This window comes from Homo sapiens, chromosome 19 (assembly GCF_000001405.40).
Source record: "Homo sapiens chromosome 19, GRCh38.p14 Primary Assembly".
Taxonomy (NCBI): Eukaryota; Metazoa; Chordata; class Mammalia; order Primates; family Hominidae; genus Homo; species Homo sapiens.
In genome coordinates, this window is record NC_000019.10 from 9,177,257 (window position 1) to 9,195,620 (window position 18,364).

At 41.2% G+C, this 18,364-nt stretch overlaps 1 protein-coding gene and 2 pseudogenes across 3 annotated transcripts, besides 1 other annotated feature; 2 read left to right on the plus strand and 1 right to left on the minus strand.

The window, feature by feature from the left end:
* Nucleotides 1–1,722: 1,722 nt before the first annotated feature.
* OR7D2 (olfactory receptor family 7 subfamily D member 2) lies at nucleotides 1,723–11,562 on the plus strand. 3 transcript variants are annotated; one of them, NM_175883.4, is made up of 3 exons: nucleotides 1,723–1,867; nucleotides 3,442–3,532; nucleotides 8,513–11,562. In NM_175883.4, the coding sequence occupies exon 3, from the start codon at nucleotides 8,526–8,528 to the stop codon at nucleotides 9,462–9,464; it is 939 nt and encodes a 312-aa protein (NP_787079.1). In that variant the 5' UTR covers nucleotides 1,723–1,867; nucleotides 3,442–3,532; nucleotides 8,513–8,525; the 3' UTR covers nucleotides 9,465–11,562. The 3 variants fall into 3 exon arrangements, with proteins under 3 accessions (NP_787079.1, NP_001373041.1, XP_047294273.1); NM_001386112.1 differs by lacking the exon at nucleotides 3,442–3,532; XM_047438317.1 differs by lacking the exons at nucleotides 1,723–1,867; nucleotides 3,442–3,532 and adding an exon at nucleotides 5,528–5,870.
* Nucleotides 4,872–5,970, minus strand: ELOCP29 (elongin C pseudogene 29; annotated as a pseudogene).
* Nucleotides 12,189–12,711: an enhancer, noted in NCBI's record as "OCT4-NANOG hESC enhancer chr19:9300121-9300643 (GRCh37/hg19 assembly coordinates)". NCBI's record gives its function as "activates a minimal SCP1, AML or CMV promoter by ChIP-STARR-seq in primed H9 embryonic stem cells {active_cell/tissue: H9 hESC(primed)}" and the evidence as "EXISTENCE:reporter gene assay evidence [ECO:0000049][PMID:30033119]".
* Nucleotides 14,173–14,821, plus strand: OR7E16P (olfactory receptor family 7 subfamily E member 16 pseudogene; annotated as a pseudogene).

Below are 18,364 nucleotides of genomic sequence, written 5' to 3' on the forward strand. Positions count from 1 at the left end.
AAAAATAATAATAATAATAAATAGAAAAACAACAAAAAATAAAAAACAAATTAGCTAATTGGGAGACTGATGTGGGAGGATTGCTTGATCTCAGGTCTTTGGGATTGTAATGAGCTATGATTGTGCCACTGCACTCCAGCCTAGGTGACAGAGTAAGACCCTGACAAAAAAGAAGAAAGAAAAAAAAAGAGAGAGGAGAGAGAGAGAGAAAGAACATTCGGACACATATACAGCATACATGAACCTTGGCAATATTTCACTTAAATGAAATAAGTCAGTCACAAAAAGACAAACAGTGTATACTTCCGTCTATGAAGTAGGTACCACAGTCAGAATTATAGAGACAGAAAGTGGTATGGTGGTTCATTAGGGGCTGGGGAGGGTGAATGAGGGATGAGTGTTACGGGACAGAGTTTCAGCTTGGGGAGATGAGAAGATTCTGAATATGGAGGATAGTGATGGCTGCTGTGAATATACTTAATGCCACTGAATAGTACACTTAAAATGGTTAAGATGGTGAACTGTATGTTATGTATATTTTACCATCATTTTAAAAATTGAAAAAAACTTTTTTCTTATTGTTCAGTTCCTCCCAAACTTGCCATCAATGAAATTTTCCCCATCACTCTACCCAGATCGCTGTTTCTAATGTTTTCCATGCCATTAAATGTGATGGATATTCTTCAGCCTTTATTTTGCTTAGCCTTATAGCATCGTTTTACATGGTTGTTAGAAATAAATCTTGGAGTCATAAAGAAAAATGAGCACTCAAACAAAGGATTTCTCAGCAAAGCAAATTTACTTCTGCGCAGAAGGGTGCTTCTCGTAGGGTTGGCTGCTACAAGAGCACCCTGAACAAAGGAGAGTAGCAACTTTTATTCTTAATGCGACTCTTGACTTTGTGTGTCCTTTCCCCATTGGCTGGGGTCGGACAGCACAATCTAAACTAGACTTGATTGGTTACACATTTAAACTGTCTTAGATAAGGTGGGTGTGTGATGGGAGACAGAGGAGAGGAGGAAGGGGTCTTCTACAGAGGAATAGACAGCTAGTCTATTCTTAAATAAGGAAAGAAATGTGAGCTGGGGCTATGGCATATCTGGGCATGCAGCAAAATCAGAAAGAAGAAAAGGAGAAGAAAGTGTGTGGGGGGGGTACTTGGAATTAGAGAATAAGAAGCTGAGCAGGCTGTTTGAAGAGAAATCTTGCTGTATCTCGCAATGGTTGACTCTCCCTCTCTTGAAACAGGACTTACGACATGTCCACAGCCTGTTTAACGCCCTGCAGCCAACGCGATCACAGGGGATTCACGGAAATAGTTGCATCTCTATTTTCTTCTGTGTTACCTTGAGACCCTTAGGCACTGGGATTACAGAGAGATGGGTCTTTGTAGCTTCTGCGACACATTCCAGAGGGGAAAACCTCTTTATCTCAAAGCCAAACCAATAGTGATGAAAGCTCTTCCAAGAATAAAGAGGCCCCAAGAGGGTGGGAGGTGCAGAGAGAGTCACCTGGCTTCAGAGCTGCCTTCTTGGAAACAGAATTAGAACACATCATACCTTTCTGCCATTTGCTCTTGATCCCAAGGGAGCCGAATGGGTTGGAGAGTAGAACATCACTGGAACAGTGGATTTAATGAGGAAGGATGAGACATCAGCTCCCTGGGGCTTGAGAAACCATAAATACTTCCCTAAAACACCTCACCTGGACAGTTTCCTGACGCCACACTCATGCATCTTAGAGAGGAGAGTTAGGATGACTTCATGACAAGTTCCATCTCCCCGCCTTTCCCTGCTAGATTCTGTCTTCAGCATTCAACAGTCAGGGGAGGAAGACGTCATACCAGCATTTTTTTTTTTCAAGCAATGTCAGTTGAGTGACTCACACTATCCTTGTTAGTACCGTGTGTGAAAAGGATTTAAAAAGTAGTGTGGGGAGGAACAGAGATGGAGGTAACAGGGTTGATAATGTCTCATGATTTTTAAAATGTCTCTAGGATTCCCTTACCTGGTTATAGATGTCTTAAGGCATTGCAACTTTTGGGAGGCTGAGGCAGGCGGATCGCTTGAGGCCAGGAGTCTAAGACAAGCCTGGCCAACTTGGTGAAACCCCATCTCATCTAAAAATACAAAAATTAGCTGGGCATGGTGGCGGATGCCTGTAATCCCAGCTACTCGGGAGCCTGAGTCAGGAGAATGGCTTGAACCCGGGAGACAGAGGTTGCCATGAGCCAAGATCACGCCACTGCACTCCAGCCTGGGTGACAGAGTGAGTGAGACGCTGTCTCAAAAAAAAAAAAAGATTCTATTGCAACTGTTTCTGTCACCTCCACCTCTGATGGCCTTTCATTCTGGAAACTAGTGACTTTCTCAATGTCAGTAGGAACTGGCACTTCCTTGAGTGGATTCCTTTCAGTCTACCTGCTAACACCTTCCTTTTTCTTCTCTAGTATAATATAATAGTTCTCGGCCGGGTGCAGTGGCTCATGCCTATAATCCCAGAACTTTAGGAGGCCGAGGCGGGTGGATCACAAGGTCAAGAGATCGAGACCATCCTGGCCAACATGGTGAAACCCTGTCTCTACTAAAAATACAAAATTAGCCGGGCATGGTGGTGTGTGCCTGTAGTCCCAGCCATTTGGGAGGCTGAGGCAGGGGAATTTCTTGAACCTGGGAGGCAGAGGTTGCAGTGAGCTGAGATTGCACCATTGCACTTCAGCCTGGGCAACAAGAACAAAACTCCGTCTAAAAAAAAAAAAATCAACAAAGCAAAGCAAAACAAAACAAGTATGTATTAAATGTTCACTCTGCACCAGATGTTACATATATTATCATTGCAATTGTGAATGGACTTTTTTTCCTCTTATTTTTTCTCATGGCTGTTTGCAGATACATAAGAAAGCTGATGACACTGATTAGTTGTAATTAATTGTGTTTAAGTTGACTTTTTTTTTTTTTGAGACAGGGTCTTTCTGGGCTCAAGCAAACCTCCTGCCTTGGCCTCCCAAGTAGCTAATTTTTTAAAAATCTATTTTTGTAGAGGCAAGTGTCTCATTTTGTTGTCTAGGCTGGTCTCAAACTCCTGGCCTCAAGAATTTCTCCTGCCTTAGCCTCTCAAAGTGCTGGGATTACAGGCAGGAGTCACAGCACCCAGCCAGGCTGTTACATTTTATTAAATGAATTTTAGCTTATGTTAAAACCATGGTTTCTTTTTCTGCCTTGCTCTATTCACGCATATACTTTGTTATCTGACTTGCCGATATTAAATTTTTTACACTCTTAGGATAAATATTCATTAGTAATGGAGTGTGTTATTTTATCCAAAAGATAACTTCATTTCACTCCCCTTTCAGGCTTTTGCATCTGTTGTCAACATGAGATTAATTTGCAGATTTCTTGTTTGTCTTATATGTGATTTTTTTTTTTTTTTACCTTCATTCAGCTTTCCATGATGAGTACAAAGCCTTGGGGAATATCTGGATAAAGTAAAATTTTCTAGAATGTGATCTGGACTTGCCACAAAGAAACTTCAGGTTCGTCGGGCTTCATGGTGTATTTGTCTAAATATTTAAGTAAAAAATAATGCTGGCTGGGCACAGTGGTTCACGCCTGTAATCCCAGCACTTTAGGAGGCTGAGGCGGGTGGATCACCTGAGGTCATGAGTTTGAGACTAGCCTGGCCAACATAGTGAAACCCTATCTCTATTAAAAATACAAAAATTAGCCGGGTGTGGTGGCGAGCATCTGTAGTCATAGCTACTCAGGAGGCTGAGGTGGGAGGATCGCTTAAGCCCAGGAAGTGGAGGTTGCAGTGAGCTATGATCATGCTACTGCACTTCAGCCTGGGCAACAGACCCAGACCCTGTCAAAAAAAAAATTGTTTCACATAACTACAGTGCAATGATCACAATCAGGAAATTGGCATTAATACCATATTATATATAGTATTATAGATATATAATACACTATTTGCTATATACTATATTAGTAATATAGTAATTAGTATATAGCATTAATATAATACTATAAAATTTACAGAGCTCATTTATATTTTATTTTTTTATTTCTTCTCATTTATATTTTAATTATCCCAATAATGTCATCTATAGCAAAAGAAAGACTCAAGTCATCCATTACATTTGATTGATATGTCTTTTTTGCCTCCTTTAATCTGGAACATTTCCTAGACTTTTTTTTTTTTTTTTTTTTTTTTGAGATGGGGTCTTGCTCTGTCACCAAGGCTGGCTGGGTTGCAGTGGTGCAATCATAGCTCACTACAGCCTCAACCTCCTGGGCTCAGGCAATTCTCCTGCCTCAGCCTCCCAAGTAGCTGGGACAACAGGCATGTGCCACCATGCCCAGCTAATTTTTGTATTTTTTGTAGAGAAGGGGTTTCACTATGTTTCCTAGGCTGGCCTCAAACTGCTAAACTCAAACGATACTCTCACAGCCTCACAAAGTGCTGGGATCCCAAGTGTAAGCCTCCATGCCTGGCATTTCTTTGTATTTTATGGCACTGACATTTTTGAAGAGCACAAGTGAGATATTGTGCCCCTCAAGCTCAGTTTGTGTGATGTTCCCTACTCTTTAAAGTTCTGCGTCTTTGGCAGGAATCCCACAGAAATGATGTTTCGCTGTTTCCAGTGAATCCTATCAGAAAGCACATGTTTATTATGTCCCATTAAGAATCTCCTTGACCATGTAATAGGGGTGCTATAAAATCAGTGTTAAGATAGATGGTTGGGATTAGAGAGTCCATTTTCTAGAATTCTATTTTGTTTGGGACGTTATAAAATGGATATTTAATATGGGTGGTTAACTATGAGATATTTCCTCACGCCTGTTAGAATTGTTTATTATTATTATTCTTTTACCTATGAATTGGCATTTTTGTTTATTTATCAGTTTGTGAAAATGTCCTTAATTTGTTGAGGTAGCAAACAAATTTCAACTTTGATTGCTATGCAAAACCAGAAGATAATCTGCTTTGCAATGAACTTTATACAGTTCAGCTGCATATAGGCAACATGCTATATATGAAAAAAATACTAACTGAACTACAGGTATTAAATACTGAAATGAGTTAACAGTTTATTATAATTTATTGTATTTAACAATCTAGGAAGTTCGCAGCCATCAGCAGTTCTAGTGCAATTTCAGGCGCAACTGGGAATTCGGGAATCTCGGTGGAGCTGTTAGCGTAGCGAACCTTGTACATAAAATACATGCATACTTTATTTATTTATTTATTTATTTATTATCATTATTATTATTATTTTTGAGACGGAGTCTCGCTCTCTCGCCCAGGCTGGAGTGCAGTGTCGCGAGATCTCGGCTCACTGCCAGCTCCGCCTCCCGGGTTCACGCCATTCTCCTGCCTCAGCCTCACGAGTAGCTGGGACTATAGGCGCCCGCCACCACGCCTGGCTAATTTTTTTTGTATTGTTAGTAGAGACGGGGCTTCACTGTGTTAGCCAGGATGGTCTCGATCTCCTGACCTGGTGATCCGCCCTCCTCGGCCTCCCAAAGTGCTGGGATTACAGGCGTGAGCCACCGCGCCCGGCCACATGCATATACTTTTGATAGCACATGTGAAGGGATCTCTCTAAAATGGACCTCATCGGCTTCGTTCTCAGCAAATTGACCTGGGCCACTCAACATGGCTTTTATCGTGCCCGATGTTAATGCACGTTCTTTTTTGACAATAAATTCATGGCCATCAGATAATATCAATTTGACATACACGGCATCAGGGCCTTCACAGCCACCGTAGGTTTTCTTCTCACCATCCATTTTGTTCTTACGAAATTCTACTTTGCTTCCCCAGGAACTTTAGTAGTTTCTCGTCAGGCCCACAGCCAGCGCAGCAGGGTCCGTGTGTACTGCCACAGCCCCTATTCCAAGGCCGCCCCACCCCGCCCCGCCAACCCAGCTGCCTGCTCCCGTGGGTGGGTTCCGGGGCAGTGGAAAGAATTACTTCAGCTGGGTCAGAGCCGCTTTCTGTGACTGGTGGGAGATCCGTGTAATTTTTTATTTTAAGACATGGTCTCGCCCTGTCACCTAGGCTCAAGTTCAGTGTCACAATCTCAGCTCACTGCATCCTCGAACACTGTGGCTCAAAGCGATCCTCCCGCCTCAGCCTCCTGAGTGGCTGGGACTACAGGCACATGCCACCATGCCCAGCTAATTTGGTTTATTTTTTTGTAGAGAGCAAGTCTTACTGTGTTGTTCGGGCTGGTCTTGAACTCCTGGCCTCAAGCAATCTTTTCATCTCAGCCTCCCAAAGTGCTGGTATTACAGGCGTGAGCCACCATGCCTGACCTTAGAATTATTAACCATTACTAGCGGTTAGCTAACAATTGGCTCTATTATTAGCTAACTATTAACTAACTATTCACTATTATTAAAAAGACAAGAGTTGGCCGGGCGCGGTGGCTCACGCCTGTAATCCCAGCACTTTGGGAGGCCGAGGCGGGCGGATCACGAGGTCAGGAGATCGAGACCATCCTGGCTAACACGGTGAAACCCCGTCTCTACTAAAAGTACAAAAAATTAGCCGGGCGAGGTGGCGGGCGCCTGTAGTCCCAGCTACTCGGGAGGCTGAGGCAGGAGAATGGCGTGAACCCCAGGGGGCGGAGCCTGCAGTGAGCCGAGATTGCGCCACTGCACTCCAGCCTGGGCGACAGCAAGACTCCGTCTCAAAAAAAAAAAAAAAAAAAAAAAAAAAAAAAAAAAAAAGACAAGAGTTGGCAAGGGTGAGAAGAAAAGGGAACCCCTTGTGCCCTGTCGGTGGTAATGTAGATTGGAGCAGACATTATGGGAAATAGTGTGAGGGTTCCTAAAGGAATTAAATAGAGGCCGGGTGTGGTGGCTTACGCCTGTAATCCCCAGCACTTTGGGAGGCCAAGGCGGGTGGATCACTTGAGGCCAGGAGTTCAAGACCAGCCTGGTCAACAAGGTGAAACCCTGTCTCTACTAAAAAAAAGAAAAAATACAAAAAATACAAAAATTAGCTAGGCGTGGTGGCACATACCTGTAATCCCAGCTACTCAAGAGGCTGAGGCACAAGAATCGCTTAAACTTGGGAGGTGGAGGTTGCAGTGAGCTGAGATCACGCCACTGCACTCCAGCCTGGGCGACAGAGAATCTGTCTCAAAAAATAAAAAGGAAAAAGAAATTAAAATTTTGAGACTCTTTCTCAAAAAATAAAAATAATAAAATCAAAAAGAAGAAATTTAAAATAAAAGAAATTTAAAATAAAAAGAAATTAAATATGATCCAGCAATCCCTCCCCTGGATATGTATCCAAAGAAAATGAAATTGCCACTCGTAAAGATATCTGCATGCTCATGTTCATTGCAGCATTACTTGCAAAAGTCAAGATATGGAAACAACCTAAGTGTCTGCTGATGGAGAAATGGCTAAAGAAAATGTGATATATATGTATATGTACATTTGTGTGTGTGTATATATTTGTGTATATATATTCCATTGTGTGTATATATATGTATGTGTGTGTATATATATGTATGTGTATGTGTGTGTATATATATTTTTACACAATTTTTACAATCAATATTATTCCACTGATTGATAAAATAGGAATAGATCCTGCCATTTGCCACAACATGGATGAATCTGGAGGCCATTATGTTAAGTAGAATAAGTCAGATGCAGAAAGAAAAATATTGCATTTTTTCACTTCTATGTGGAATATTTTTTTTAAAGTCAAATATAGAGAATAAAACAGTGGTTACCAGAGGAGGGGTGCGGCTGGGGGAGAAAATGAAGAAGATGTAGGATAATGGATATAAAGTAGCAGATATATAGGATAAACGAGTCTAGAGATCCAGTGTACCCATGAAAATTATAGTCAATAACAGTATGTAGTATTCCGGATTTATGCTACATCAGTAGACTGTAGCTGTTCTTGCTATAAAGAAAATGGGTAACTATGTAAGACGATGGATATGTTCATTTGTTTCACTACAGTAACCATTTTACTATCTATATGTATCTCATAACATATATAGTATACGTTGAATATACAGAATATAATTAATTTTTAAATAATTAAATATATGGGTGGTTGAGATGAGAGACTTCATTTTTTAGAATTCCATTTACGTATGAAAGATTAGACAAAATGAGTCCATAAATCACAAGTAAATAGTATGGACAACATTTCTATTACATGAAGGATGCCCGTTGGATGTTAACTGATGTTTCTCTTACCGCTTCCTTTTAAATAAATAAATAAATATAATTTTAAATAAATATGTATATTTTAAAATAAATACATATATACATAGTTTTATTTTTATTTTATTTTTTATTTTTATTTTTTGAGACAGTTCTCCCTCTATTGCCCAGGCTGGAGTGCAGTGGTGTAAACATAGCTCCCTGCAGTTGCAAATTCCTGGGCTCAAGTGATCCTTCCATCTCAGCCTCCCGAGTAGCTGGGACTACAGGTGTCCACCACCATGCCTGGCTAATGACCTCTTCTTTTGTAGATACATCAGCTACATGGAAGCAGGAAACCAAACAGGATTTTTAGAGTTTATCCTTCTCGGACTCTCTGAGGATCCAGAACTACAGCCGTTCATATTTGGGCTGTTCCTGTCCATGTACCTGGTGACGGTGCTGGGAAACCTGCTCATCATCCTGGCCATCAGCTCTGACTCCCACCTCCACACCCCCATGTACTTCTTCCTCTCCAACCTGTCCTGGGTTGACATCTGTTTCAGCACTTGCATCGTCCCCAAGATGCTGGTGAACATCCAGACCGAGAACAAAGCCATCTCCTACATGGACTGCCTCACACAGGTCTATTTCTCCATGTTTTTTCCTATTCTGGACACGCTACTCCTGACCGTGATGGCCTATGACCGGTTTGTGGCTGTCTGCCACCCTCTGCACTATATGATCATCATGAACCCCCACCTCTGTGGCCTCCTGGTTTTTGTCACCTGGCTCATTGGTGTCATGACATCCCTCCTCCATATTTCTCTGATGATGCATCTAATCTTCTGTAAAGATTTTGAAATTCCACATTTTTTCTGCGAACTGACGTACATCCTCCAGCTGGCCTGCTCTGATACCTTCCTGAACAGCACGTTGATATACTTTATGACGGGTGTGCTGGGCGTTTTTCCCCTCCTTGGGATCATTTTCTCTTATTCACGAATTGCTTCATCCATAAGGAAGATGTCCTCATCTGGGGGAAAACAAAAAGCACTTTCCACCTGTGGGTCTCACCTCTCCGTCGTTTCTTTATTTTATGGGACAGGCATTGGGGTCCACTTCACTTCTGCGGTGACTCACTCTTCCCAGAAAATCTCCGTGGCCTCGGTGATGTACACTGTGGTCACCCCCATGTTGAACCCCTTCATCTACAGCCTGAGGAACAAGGATGTGAAGGGAGCCCTGGGGAGTCTCCTCAGCAGGGCAGCCTCTTGTTTGTGATGGATCCCTTGGCCCCAGGACTAAGAAGTTTTGTGAGCACCAATGGCAAAAATGTTTTATTTTGAAATTCTTACTCTTTAAAATTAAAAACATTTTTTTATACTTTGAGAGTACAAATGCAGATTTCTTAACATGCATTTGCATAAGGGTGAAGTCTGAGCTTTTGGCGTACCAATTACCTGAATAGTGAACATAAGGCACTTTTTTTTCTTTTTTGAGACGGAGTCTCACTCTGTCTCCCAGGCTGGAGTGCAGTGGAGTGATCTCGGCTCACTGCAACCTCCGCCTCCCGGGTTCAAGTGATTCTTCTGTCTCAGCCTCCTGAGTAGCTGAGATTACAGGTGTGTGCCACCCATGCCTTTTAGTAGAGACGGGGTTTCACCATCTTGGCCAGGCTGGTCTCGAACTCCTGACCTTGTGATCCACCTGCCTTGGCCTCTCAAAGTGCTGGGATTACAGGTGTGAGCCACCACGCCCGGCCAAGGCAGTTTTTAAACTCTCACTCCCCTCTCACCTTTTGCAGTCTCCAGTGTCCATTATTCTGTTATAATGCCCATGCGTATACATTGTTTAGCTCCCAATTATAAGTGAGATCATGCAGCATTTGACTTTGTTTCTTTACTACCTTACTTAAGAGAATGGCTTCCAGTCCCATCGATGTTGCTGCAAAAGACATGATTTCATCCTTTTTTATGGCTGAGTAGTACTCCATTGTATATATCCTCGATATCTATATAGATATAGACATATGTAGATACATACCATGTTTTCTTTTTTTAAAAAAATTTATTTTTATGTCAGTAGTTTTTGGGGTACATGTGGTTTTTCATTACACGGATGAGTTCTTTAGTGGTGACTTCTGAGTTTTTAGTGTACCCGTCACCCAAGTGGTAGTAGTCTCTTATTCCTCACCCCCCTCCCAACCTTTCTCCCTTCAAGTCACCAAAGTTCATTATATTGTTCATATCCCTTTGTGTCCTCATAGCTTAGCTCCCACTTATAACTGAGAACATACGATATGTTCATATGGATCTTATGTATGTTGGTTGAACATACAAACAAGTCCAGGTTTTTCATTCCTGAGTTACTTCACCTAGAGTAATGACCTCCAGTTCCATCCAAGTTGCTACAAAAGACATTATTTGGTTCCTTTTTATGGATAAGTAGTATTCCATGCTGTACATATACCACAATCTTTATCACTCATTGGTTGATGGGCACTTAGGTTGGTTCCATGCCTTTGTAATTGCTAATTATGTTGCTATAAACATGCAGGTGTATGTGTCTTTTTCACATAATGACTTTGTTTCCTTTGGGTAGATACCCAGTAGTGGAACTGCTGGACTGAAAGGTAGTTCTACTTTTAGTTCTTTTTTTTGTTTTTTTTTTAAGACAGAGTCTCACTCTGTTGCCCAGGCTGGAGTGCAGTGGCGCGATCTCATCTCACTGCAACCTCCACCTCCCAGGTTCAAGCGATTCTCCTGCCTCAACCTCCTGAGTAGCTGGGACTACAGGCACCTGCCACCCCACCCAGCTAATTCTTCTATTTTTAGTAGAGACAGGGTTTCACCATGTTGGCCAGGCTGGTCTTGAACTCCTGACCTCAGGTGATACGCCCACCTCGGCCTCCCAAAGTGCTGGGATTACAGGTGTGAGCCACTGTGCCTGGCCTTCTAGTTCTTTAAGATACCACTTTAAAAAAAGTCCAGTCCTCCATTGATGGACACGTAGGTTGATTCCATATCTTTGCTAATGTGAATAGTGCCGTGATAAACATGGGGGTGTAAGTTAACAATTAATCTCCAAGTAATTTCCTTGATGGCACTTCTGTCCTATGTGCTATTCAAAAATTGTGTCCTTGATCATCGTTCTTAATTCTCCATTAGTGAGTTCTGAACTTGGGTTTGAAGCATTTGCTATAGCTTTGTTATCTCAAGTGGTGGCACAGAGTTCTTAAGCTATTGATTGTTCACTGACTTTATTTCTATGTGTTTGCATGTGGGTTTTTGTTGTTTGTGTGTTCGATCATGAACAGATCAACAGTGTTTATTTGTTTTCCTACTGGATGAAGTATGATTAAAATACGTATTTAAATATAGCTGGTTATATCTCTCTGGTGTCTCTTCTTCTTCTAAGAATATCAGTCCTATTAGATCAGGGCCTGACCCTTATGATTTCAGTAAACTTTAATTACCTCCCTGAGGACCCTGTATCTAAAGACAGTCATCATATTGGGGGTGAGGACTTCACTATATTAATTTTGGGGGGTGCAATTTAGTCCATAAGAGATGTTTATGCAGATCTGAGAAAGTTTCTGCCAACTCTATGGGGAGCTCTAAAGCTAGGGCTGCTCTTTGGAGAATTCTCACATTGTGTAGAAATAACCAGGCCCTATTACCCCAGGAAGCGTGGGGCCTTGAGGGTGATAGGGACAGAGGGTGGAGAAATTCTAGGCAGAAAAGGGCAGTTCCCAGGCAAAACCCCACCCTCAAGCCAAAAAGCCTGAAACTGCAGCCCAAAGTGAGAACTTATATCCCTGTTTTCTCGCTTGGATATCACCTTTTCCTAAACCACCCCTGACCCTGCCCAACCCCATGCTATGCCTATAAAAACCCCAGACTCAGCCAGTAGATGAAACTATGGCTGGACATTAGAGAGAAGCAGCTTTGACCTCAGAAGGACAGCTCGATGGTATAACTTCAGAGAAGAATTTGGCAGGAGACGACTGGACTTCATTACCTGCCTGCCCCATCCCTTTTCCAGCTTCCCTTACCTGAGAGCCACTTTGATCAGACATAAGATCCCTCCTGCATTTAACATCCTTCAATTCGTTCATGCAACCTTATTTTTCCTAGATGCTGGAAAAGTGCTCAGGAGCCACAAGTGCGGTTACAAAAGCCTGTCATACTGGCCCTTTGCCCTCGCTGGTGGAGGGCAGCCACTTCATGCAAAAAGGCAAAGGGCCCACTGAGCTGTTAACACTTAACACCCCACCCTAATCTTTTATTATGCAGATGGATTCTCTATCTGGCCGGCGCCATGTTGCCTGTGTCTTTACTGCACATGGGCTGACAAAGAAAAGGAAAGATGGAGACTCTATGCTGAACGTGTCTGGCTTTCAAGTAGCCCTTTCCTATTGGCGCAGCTGCTAGGATTCACCCATGCAAGCTTGCAGTTGCTTATCTATGTCTGCAGCTTGATTTTTCAGGCTTCTCTTTGTCAGAAAAGAAATGATTTGGGGGTTGCTTTTTGTTAGGGAAATTCCTCCAAGGACTCTTTTACCCTCACTCTCTGCCTAAATAATTTCTTTCTATCTCCTTTATCAATATGGCTGAGTCTGGGGCTGTTATGGGCTCAGAATGGGGGAGGGACAGACCATAGGTATTATTCAAAAAGGCAACATTCGATTGGCTAAAAGGCATTTTTCAAAAAAAAAAAAATCTGTTGGGAAAGGGCAAGTAAACAAGAACAGAAGTTTTCACTCTGGGTCGCAGGTTTCATCCAGGACGAGTAGTCCAGTCTTTCAGCCTATAGACTGTTTTTGGCTTGAAGGTGGGGTTTTACCGGGGACCCACCCCATCTGCCTGGGTATTTGGCTGTCTCCTGTCACTATCACAGAGATAACAAGAACACAACAAAGTAAAGAACCACGACATTCAAATGGATAATTTTTGAGGAAGCCATGTCAGTGCATGACATGAAAATGATTTAAATGATGCTTTAGAAATCTCAAGAACAGCTGAAAGTAAACTGATCAAAGACAGAGATTTGATGACCATGTACAGAGAAGAAAACTATAAAAGTAATTAATCACTGAAGGAGTTGTTGAATAGAAATATACAAAAACATATAAAGCAATTTTATAGGTGCTTTAGGAATGGGAAACAGAGGCATGTCTTTTAGAGAGAGAAAAAAAGAGCCAGAATATTTAAATTCACATTTGCCTTAGGTAGTTGTAATATCCAGGAAACAGGAGGATGTTCCATCTAACATCACTGGGATTACAGGCGTGAGCCACCGCATCTAAGAAATATTACTAATCATATCACAGAGTGTACACACAATGTGTACACTTACTGTGTTGTTAGCAGTAATAGCGAAGAGATATTATGAGTCATGTCACAGGGTGTACATCCACTGTGATATTAACATTAATATTGAAGAGATATTATGAATCATATAACAGGGTGTACAACCAGTGTTATATTAGCAGTAATATCGAAGAGATGTTATGAATCATATCACACGGTGTACACCCACTGTGATATTAGCAGTAAAATCGAAGAGATATTTTGAATCATATCACATGGTGTATACCCATTGTGATATTAGCAGTATTATCAAAGAGATATTATGAATCATATCCTAGGTGTACACCCACTGTGATATTAGCAGTAATTTCTAAGAGATATTATTAATTATATCACAGGGTGTACACCCATTCTGATATTTGCAGTAATATCAAAGAGATATTATTTGCAGTAATATCAAAGAGATATTATTTGCAGTAATATTGAAGAGATATTATGAATAATATCCCAGCATGTACACACAGGGTGTGTACAGATTAAGAACTGCAGCCCATCCTCTTTGGGCTGTTCCTGTCCATGTGCCTGGTCATGGTGCTGGGGAACCTTCTCATCATCCTGGCCGTCAGCTCTGACTCCCACCTCCACACCCCCACGTACTTTTTCCTCTCCAACCTGTCCTTGGCTGACATCGGTTTCCCCTCCACCACTGTCCCCAAGATGATTGTGGACATCCAGTCTCACAGCAGAGTCATCTCCTATGCGGGCTGCCTGACTCAGATATCTCTTTTTGCTGTTTTTGGATGCATGGAAGACATGCTTCTGAGTGTGATGGCTTATGACCGGTTTGTGGCCATCTGTCACCCTCTGGATTATCCAGTCATCATGAACCCATGTTTCTGTGGCTTCCTGGTTTTGTTGTCTTTTTTTTCTCAGTCTTTTAGACTTCCAGCTGCACAATTGGATTGCCTTACAAATTACCTGCTTCAAGGATGTGGAAATTCCCAGTTTCTTCTGTGACCCTTCTCAACTCCCCCACCTTGCCTGTTGTGACACCTTCACCAACAACATAGTCATGTATTTCCTTGCTGCCATACTTGGTTTTCTTCCCATCTCGGGGATCTTTTCTCTTACTATAAAATTGTTTCCTCCATTCTGAAGGTTTCATCATCAGGTGGGAAGTATAAAGCCTTCTCCACCTGTGGCTCTCACCTGTCAGTTGTTTGCTTATTTTATGGAACAGCCCTTGGAGGGTACCTCAGTTCAGACATGTCCTCTTATCCCAGAAAGGGTGCAGTGGCTTCAGTGATGTACACAGTGGTCGCCCCCATGCTGAACCCGTTCATCTACAGCCTGAGAAAAAGGGACATTAAAAGTGCCCTGCAGCAGCTGCATGGCAGAATAGTCTAATCTCATGATCTTATTATCGGTTCCATTCTTTAGCATGGGTTGGAAAAGGCAGCAAGGTCAAATATCTAGACCTGCAAAGAATATCGCTTCCTTCGTTATGTCTCTAGTTGGAATTGCTGAGTATTCTGATATCCTTTGTTCTTAATAAACATCATGATTGAATTCAATATACCTAGACGGACTCTTTTAGTTTCTGGGCAATGACCCTGGTATCCAGGTGAAATTACATTCTACTTCTTTCTTCTTTCTTCTCTTCTTCTCCTTCTCCTTCTCCTTGTTCTTCTTCTTCTTCTTTTTCTTCTTCTTTTTTGAGATGGATTCTCGCTCTTTTGCCCAGGCTGGAGTGCAGTGGTGTGATCTCAGTTCACTACAACCTCTGCCTCCCGGGTTCAAGCAATTCTCCTGCCTCAGCCTCCTGAGTAGCTGGGACTACAGGCACCCACCACCATGCTTGGCTAATTTTTGCAGTTTTAGTAGAGACGGGGTTTCACCATGTTGGCTAGGCTGGTCTCAAACTCCTGACCTTGTGATCCACCTGCCTCAGCCTCCCAAAGTGCTGGGATTACAGGCGTGAGCCACCGCACCTGGCCACATCTCTCTTCTTGTATACAGTTAAGTCCTCACATAATGTTGATAGGTTCTTGGAAACTGTGACTTTAAGAAAATGAATTATAGGAGGTCCTCAAATAATGTCATTTCCTTTAACATTGTTTAGCTATAAAGTTGTTGAGAAAAAGAATCTGGTTTCATTATACATCATTTTTCTTATTGTTGCAGTTTCCAAAAATCTATTGAAGACCTTAAATGAGAATTTACTGTACTTCACATTTATATTGCTTTTCACTGTTCATTTGTAATTTATTTACACTTTGCATCTATAAAATCTATTTAGGCAGATTATATGTGAGGATCCATGTCACTGGTCCTCAAGTTTGAGTTAGATTGAAATTGCCCAGAGAGCTTACAAGTGCTGATGCCTGGGTCTCATTACCAGAGATTCTGATTTACTTAGACTTGTGTGGGTATGAGGATATTACAAACATCAGAGAGAGTTCAGATGGTAAAGTTCCCAAAGGGATTAAACTCAATGTAAGTTACAAAGGAGTTTTTTGTACCACCAGGCAATGTGATTTCTTCAAATGCATTGCCTTCAACACTGAACCGACTGTCATTATGCTGGGTTATTTTCACCCCTTAGAATTTTTATTTTATCTACTGCAACTGTAGTTTTACATGTATATAGATTTTTATCATATTTCCTTCTTGTGCATACATAAAAAGAGAAATAGGAAATAATAACATGGTAACAATATCCCTAGACTTCCCATTCAGAGACTGGTTCTTTAAAAATACGTGTTATTTTTACTTTCTAATAAAGAAAATGTGGTGTATGCATATACAATGAGATATGATTCAGCTGTAAAACAAATGGCATCTTGTCATTTGCAACAACTTTGATGGGACTGTAGGTCATTACGTTAAGTGAAATAGGGAAGGCACAAAAATGCATGTTCTCATTCATACGTAGGAGCTGAAAAGTTAATCTCATGAAGGCAGACAGTAGAATATTGGCTACCAGAGCATGGTAAAAATGGGGAGGGGGTTGAAGAGAAGTTGGTATATGGGTCCAAAGGTCCATGCAGAAGAATTAAATTCGAGTATTTAATAGTACAGTAGAGAAATTTTAGTTAACAATAATGTGGAATATTTCAAAATAGCAAGGAGATACGATTTGTGTGGTTCTTATTATGTTGGTCTTTAACCTATAGTATTTCTGTTCTGATGTCATTCTTCTGTACTCATCTTTTGCCAGGTTGGGACTCTCGAAACCCTGTTCTATTTCCCATGTGGGTTTTTTGTTTTTGTTGTTGTTTGTTTGTTTTTGAGACGGAGTCCCACTCTGTTGCCCAGGCTGGAGTGCAGTGGCATGATCTCAGCTCACTGCAACCTCTGTCACCCGAGTTTAAGCAATTCTCCTGCCTCGGCCTCCCAAGTAGCTGGGATAACAGGCACAGGCTACCATGCCCAGCTAATTTTTGTATTTTTGTAGAAATGGGGTTTAACCATGTTGGCCAGGCTGATCTCAAACTCCTGACCTCAAGCCAACCACCCACCATGGCCTCCCAAAGTGTTGGGATTGCAGGCGTGAGCCACCGTACCCAGCCCATGTAGTTTTCTTATGTAATTCCACTCCTGGTCACTAAGGCTCATCACACTGAAAGTTCAGTGTACTTCACTAACACCTTCACTCCCCGAAGCCTCAGAGTTTAGAGGCTACCTTCAGTTACTGTTTCTGTTACTACATTGTTTCCTTTTGCCTTTGTCCTGCAGTAACAATTGAACCAACTCCCTATATTCAATTCTCTTCATTAAAATAACTAGATTGACTTCTATTCCTGAACTTTGATTTGGGAACAAAGGTATGTTGTAGTTCTCTACAATTGGAATATTTTTAAATGTGCTCAAGAAATAAAGCTGGTTATAAAACACATGTCTTTGTGAAGGGCATCTAACTGAGGTTTAAATGCTGGTTTTCTACTTCCAGTTGCTATGTGGCTCTACTGATGTCTGAGGATTATTGAACCACCAATTTCATCATAAATAATTTAATCATGTTCTTCTATAACTTTATCCTAAGATATTAAATGTATATGTCACCAATAAAAGTGAGCTCTTCATTTGTCACCCAATAGTCAACGAACATGATAAGTGGTACATTAATATTGCCTGTTGAAATCACATTGTAGACGCTCCCCATAGGTGATGCTCTGTCCTTTGCTCTTTATGTCAAGATTTAGAAGAGAGCTATGATGAACTAATACCTTACATGGCAGAAGTTTGGATGCTTCAGAATAGCCATCTAAGATTACTATGACAATCTTTGATTTGGACGGAAATTACAGATAATGGAAAAAAATGTCAGATTTGTAGCTACTTCATCAGCCATATATTGGCTCTTGAATTTGGGACCTTTGGCAGCTCACAGCTCTTTTCTGAACCTCAGATTCCTCAGTAGCAAATTAAGTACAATCATTTTTTTTCCTTCCAAGATCATGCAATGATCATATATAATGGTATCATGAACCAGTAAAGGTAGTTTTCCATCAAATATTTTTAGTATATATTATTAGTATATATTATTACATAAAAGAAGTCAATTTTATGAAAATTTCCAGAATTCATAAGCAAATTGTTATTGCAGAATTCATAAGCAAACTGTTATTGCAAACTGTGTAACCTTGTATGCAATACAAAACATATTTCTATTACACTAGTTCACCTAATACTGTGATAATGGTCTATCTGAGAGGCTGGCTGGGGAGATATAATGAAATATATCTCTAATTAGATAACTATTTAATAGGTAGTAATGGAACAATAAGGCCAAACTGTCATAATCAATGTATTATTGATTAGTGTATTGTTGAACATGTGTTTTATTTTTTGTTTTATTTTTGAGAC

What these genes read in the sequence shown, in the direction of transcription:
- OR7D2 (NM_175883.4), top strand. Translation starts at nt 8,526, where the DNA reads ATGGAAGCAGGAAACCAAACAGGATTTTTAGAGTTTATCCTTCTCGGA.